Source organism: Homo sapiens, chromosome 15 (genome assembly GCF_000001405.40).
Source record: "Homo sapiens chromosome 15, GRCh38.p14 Primary Assembly".
In the NCBI taxonomy this organism is placed as follows: domain Eukaryota; kingdom Metazoa; phylum Chordata; class Mammalia; order Primates; family Hominidae; genus Homo; species Homo sapiens.
This window is the reverse complement of record NC_000015.10, coordinates 32,609,124-32,615,140: the sequence shown is the minus strand read 5'-3', so window position 1 is coordinate 32,615,140 and position 6,017 is coordinate 32,609,124. Positions and strand designations below refer to the sequence as shown.

Genomic DNA, 6,017 nt, shown 5'->3' with positions numbered 1-6,017 from the left:
GAAGCCCAGATGAGACAACTTGAGACAGGATTCAGAAACGCTGATTTTAGTAACCTTAACCCTCGGCCCTTGGTGGGAACTTCGGCTCTGTGGGAATTAGTCTTTGGGGGACTGATGGTCATGCTGAAATCTTATTGCGTAGGAAATTAAGTACAACAAAGAAGACCCGTCGTGAGAGGAGAGTGCGGAAGAAATGCGAAGTCTACGGGAGGTGGCAGCTGCAGAAGCTTGGTGTTGGATTTGGCGTTAGGAGACCGGGAGGAGCCCAGCTTCCGGTCCAGACGGTTATCTTGTTGACTTGCACGACTGCAAACGCCCTGAGCTGCTTTTGCAGTCTGAAACATCAGCGATCCCATCAAAATATTCTGTTTCTTGGGATATAAGAAACATCCCAAGGCGGGCTGTAGAGCGAGAGATTTGGACTCGATTTAAATACAGACAAAATAGTATGCATTTACTAACACCACATCTCACCCCCACGAAACTTGGTAAGGGCAGCAACAGAACTTTATCTGCCATATGCACTCCTGTATTCCTATTACCAAATAGTGCCAGGGACTAAGTGAATATTTGTCCAATGAATGAGTTTTAAGTAGGAAACGTTTGCATAGAATCATTTTGTTTCTTTTGGAGTTCAAATCTTCGGATATTTTACCCTTCCCAATCCAAAGAAAAGTCTCTGAGTGAAGAGATGGGAACAAAATGTAAGTTAAATATGTTGCTTTAACAACTGTTTATTGAACTCGTGCTATAGACTATAGAATGATGAGCAAAACCAGGCACAGTTTCGGCCCTGGAAGAGGAAAGGCAGGCATATATTTATCAAGTAAGTACATTAATGGCGGCACTTATCAGTTGAGAGAAGTGCGCTAAGGAAAGGAATATGATTCTATGATAGCGTATAATAAAAGATCCTTGACCGGGGAGGGGAAACGTACCAGTGATTAACTGATCTGAAGAATCAGTATAAATTGACTTTGTAGAAAGTATAGGTGGATGGCTGAGTGGGACCATCATTCAGGAAGCAAATGCCTGCAGAAAAAAACATCAATTTTAACAAGAAACGGTGTATCAGAGATGAAACTGAACCTATTCCTTGTCTTTTCTTCTTGCTTCAGACATAACTTTAAAAAATTGCTTACGCTGTCTTTAGCCACATCTCTTCCCCAAACTCCACACTGTTCGGCGTTTTAGCCGTCTCAAATTTCCTTTTCTTAAAGACCCATGACAATCTTCAGTGTTGTGTCTTTTTCTACGTCGTGATCCTTTTTTAAAGCTGAGCTCTTCTTGTTTTTCGTCTCCTTTCTCTTTTTTTTTTTTTTTTTTTGTGATGGAGTCTCGCTCTGTCGCCCAGGCTGGAGTGCAGTTGCACAATTTCGGCTCACTGCAAACTCCACCTCCCACGTTCAAGCAATTCTCTGCCTCAGCCTCCCAAGCAGCTGGGATTACAGGCGTCTGCCAGCAGGCCCGGCTAATTTTTGTATGTTTAGTAGAGACGGTGTTTCACCATTTTGGCCAGGCTGGTCCTGAACTCCTGACCTCGTGATCCACCCGCCTCGGCCTCCCAAAGTGCTGGGATTACAGGTGTGAGCCACCACATCCGGCCCTTCCTTTCTCTTAAGATGAAAATATTGGTTCTTTTTTCCTACACACAAGGAGGCAATGAAAATATTGGTTCTTTTCATTGCCTTATTATTAATGTTACTATTAATAAATATTAATATTAACATAATGGTTATTTGCTTCATCTACCTATATTCACAGGTATATAAACACAACAATAGCAATAACAGGATAAAGAATAAAAACAGAATAACAATAGAGATATTGCTAACAGATAAATGAAGTTTAACTTTGCATGTACTTCCTTTTTTCTAAAATTGTATCCAACTAAGGATGTAAAATCAAGATACTGTGTTTTAAATGAACTGGGCATAATTATTCTTTTTGGTTATATATGGATGTACTGTAGTTTATTTAGCCAGGCCCTTACTAGTGGATATGTTGGCTATTCCCAGTCTTTTGCTATACAAAAGTTTCCTTGTGCATATATAATATGCTTTTGCCAGTGGGTCTTTAGCATAGATTTCTATAAATGGGATTGTTAGGTCAAAGGGTAAAAGAACATGTTATTTTGTTTAATTCTGCCAAATTCCCCTTCATAGGGGTTGTGCAGTTTTGTATTCACACCAGCAGCATTTCCTGTTTCTCTGCAGCCTCTCCAATAGAATGAATTGTCAAACTCCTAGATGTTTGCTAAATCGATATGTGGGAAATGTTATCAAAGTGTAGTTTTTTTTTTTTTTTTTTTGAGACGGAGTCTCACTCTGTTGCCCAGGCTGGAGTTCAGTGGCTCTATCTTGGCTCACTGCAACTTCTGCCTCCCAGGTTCAAGCGATTCTCCTGCCTCAACCTCCTGAGTAGCTGGGACCACAGGCAATCACCACCACGCCTGGCTAATTTTTGTAATTTTAGTAGAGACAGGGTTTCGCCATGTTGGCCAGGCTGGTCTCGAACTTCTGACCTCAACCTATCCACTCACCTCGGCCTCGCAAAGTGCTGAGTTTACAGGCATGAGCGACTGCGCCCAGCCTCCAGTATAGTTTTGTATTTATCTTTTTGTCAATGAAGTGGAACATTTTTTCAAATGATGCATGCTTACGACAAAGTATTATGAAGCTGTTAAGGAATGTGGAAGATATATGACTATGATGTGAAGTGAAGTGAAAAAGCAAGGCATAAAAGAGTGTATATAGTATGCTGCCTTTGGTATACGGGGTGGTAGAGATACATATACAAATGGATACTTACTTATATTTTCAAAAATAAACAATAGAAAGGTAAACCAAAATCTAATAAAAATGGTAAACAATAGGAGAAGATCAAGAACAGGTGAAGTAGAAAATAGGAATGGAAGCTAGACCTCTCTGAATATATCTTGTTTTATATATAAACTTGGAACCCTGTAAATGTGTAACATGTTTAAAATACAAAATAAGGTGGTGGCTCACGCCTGTAATCCCAGCACATTGGGAGGCCGAGGTGAACGGATCACCTGAGGTCAGGAGTTCGAGACCAGCCTGGCCAACGTGGTGAAACCCCGTCTCTACTAAAAATACAAAGATTAGCCATGCGTGGTGATGCATGCCTGTAATCCCAGCTTCTCGGGAGGCTGAGACAGGAGAATCGCTTGAACCTGGGAGGCGGAGGTTGCAGTGAGCCAAGATCCGGCCACTGCACTTCAGCCTGGGTGACACAGTGAGACTCCATCTAAACAAAATAATAATAAATAAAATAAAATAAAATAAAATGTAAAAGCAACTCCTAAAATGGAAAACAAAGTGCAATAAATCAATCTTTTCACCTGTTTAAGGGCTATTTGTACTTCTTTTTATTTAAATTGTCCATCTTTTACTTTCAGGATGGTCTTTAAAAATATTTTAGAAGCTTTTTATATATTAGTCCCTCATGATATAAGCTACATATATTTTTTAGACTTTTTGCCTTGCTTTTTTGTTTGTTTAAATTATAGTTAATCTCTTCCCTTAATGCTTCTGGATTCTGATCATAGATAGGAGTATTTTCCCCACTTCTGAGTTATAAAGGTATTCACTCTTGTGAATTCTAGTACTTAATTTTCTAGTACTGCTATGTTTTCATTTGTTAATGTTAGATCTCTGAGGCTGGAGTGCAGTGATGCGACCTCTGCTCACTGCAACCTTCACCTCCCGGGTTCAGATGATTCTCCTGTCTCAGCCTCCTGAGTAGCTGAGACTACAGGTGCATGCCACCACACCTGGCTAATTTTTGTGTTTTTAGTAGAGACGAGGTTTCGCCATATTGGCCAGGCTGGTCTTGAACTCCTGACCTTAGGTGATCTGTCTGCCTCTGCCTCCCAAAGTGCTGGAATTACAGGCGTGAGGCACCGCGCCCGGTCCTTAAATTTGGAATTTATCCAGTGTAGAAAGAATGGATCCAATTTTATGTGTTACCCCACACAGCTATCCAGCTGTAGATATTGTAATTTTATTTCATTTAGTGAACTCCCACACCTACTTCTAAAAGTAGGAAAACACTACTGAAAACCTCACTGAGTTCCCTGACGATGAAAAGGGAAATCTTTCGTTAAGCATTAGGCTTTGCTTTTAGTGCCACTAGATGGCACACATCCTTTTCCTTAGATGTTAGTTCACCTAGCCCTCATTTCTGTGAAATCAGTCCATAAAGTGTCTGCCAAAGGGCCTTCCTGAACCTTTTACCTGCATCCCTGCTTGAAATAAGATGATTTGTGCAACTTTCAAATTAGGTCCGAGTTTTTTTCTGTAAAACCAAAATGATTGTTCCTAGAATCACTGCTTCTAGGGCCTGGCACATTCCACAGACACATTGTTCCATTTATTTATTTATTTATTTATTTATTTGAGACGGAGTCTCGCTCTGTCCCCCAGGCTGGAGTGCAGTGGTGTGATCTCGGCTCACTGCAAGCTCTGCCTTCCGGGTTCACACCATTCTCCTGCCTCAGCCTCCCCAGCAGCTGGGACTATAGGCGCATGCCGCCACGCCCGGCTAATTTTTGTATTTTTAGTAGAGACGGGGTTTCACCGTGTTAGCCAGGATGGTCTCGATCTCCTGACCTCGTGATACGCCCGCCTCAGCCTCCCAAAGTGTTGGGATTACAGGCGTGAGCCACCGCACCCGGCCACATTGTTCCATTTATTAATAAAACAGAAATGTCTATCATATTCTGTCCTAAATGTGGACTAAGATGGAAAATAGTACAGTGATTTCCTGAGGTCACTGGGCTATCACCAGAATAGTAGACACTGTGGTGCTTCACCTAGATCCCCCTCCAGGCTGAGGTGCTCACTCGCCCCACTTGCAGAAGTGTTGGTTCCTCATGGCTCACAACAAAGTCCCCCTCTGAGAGCTGCTCCATGAAAAGGACCTGCCTCACCCCAAGTGATGCCTTCCTCTGGGCAGTCTACATTCCATGCCTGGTTAATATGGGGTTTCATAGGCCTGGTCCCCATATCTCAAGACAACGGAAGGACCTCCCAGCTCTAGAGCTTCCTGAAGGAGCAGCTGAGATGGTGGCAACTGTTTCACAGGCTGCCCAATCCTGTTTCTTTTACTCCTTTACTTGTGTTGTTCCAAGAGCCTTCCCAAGTAAGCCTCCTGTGGGGAAATCTCCATCTCAGTACCTGTTTTTCAGGCAACCCAACTTAAGATACAGGGCCAGTGGTTTTCCCTAAACAGTGCTCTAAACTAGAGCCTTGCTATTCAAATACGGCATAGGTATCGCCTGGAAACTATAGCCATGTGTCTCTTAATGACAGAGATACCTTCTGAGAAATGCATTGTTAGGCAATTTTGTCATTGTGCAAACATCATAGAGTGTACTTACATCAGCCTAGATGGTGTAGCCAACTACACACACACCTAGTTATGTGATATAATCTATTGCTCCTAGGCTACAAACCTGTACAGCAGATTACTGTACTGAATACTGTAGGCAATTGTAACACAATACCAAGTATTTATGTATCTTAACAGATTTAAAATTTATGATATAACATTTAAATTTTTTTCTTTTTTTTTTTTCTTTTTTGAGATGGAGTCTTGCACTGTCACCAGGCTGGATTGCAGTGGCACAATCTCAGCTTACTGCAACCTCTGTCTCCCGGGTTCAAGCGATTCTCCGACCTCAGCCTCCCGAGTAGCTAGGACTATAGGCGTGCACCACCACGCCCAGCTAATTTTTGTATTTTTAGTAGAGATGGCGTTTCGCCATGTTGGCCAGGGTGGTCTTGATCTCTTGACCTTGTGATCCGCCCACCTCGGCCTCCCAAAGTGCTGGAATTACAGGTGTGAGCCACTGCGACCGGCCACAGATTTAAAATTTTACCTGCGTAGGGTACTTATGAGTGGAGCTTGCAGGACTGGAAGTTGCTCTGGGTGAGTCAGTGAGTGGTGAGTGAATGTGAAGGCCTAGGACCTTACTGTACATTGTTATAGAC

At 42.4% G+C, this 6,017-nt stretch overlaps 1 long non-coding RNA gene across 1 annotated transcript in view, besides 1 other annotated feature; it reads left to right on the top strand.

The window, feature by feature from the left end:
- Positions 1–6,017: part of a non allelic homologous recombination region, noted in NCBI's record as "15q13 distal microdeletion recombination region, recombines with the 15q13 proximal microdeletion recombination region", that runs on past both edges of the window. NCBI's record gives the evidence for it as "EXISTENCE:DNA microarray evidence [ECO:0005524][PMID:25326701]" and "EXISTENCE:nucleotide sequencing assay evidence [ECO:0000219][PMID:25326701]".
- The window catches only part of ARHGAP11A-DT (ARHGAP11A divergent transcript), a 28,642-nt gene continuing 23,019 nt past the window's right edge, over positions 395–6,017 (top strand). The window contains exon 1 of the long non-coding RNA NR_135833.1: positions 395–704. This is a non-coding gene — a long non-coding RNA (ARHGAP11A divergent transcript). The remainder of the gene's footprint in view (positions 705–6,017) is intronic.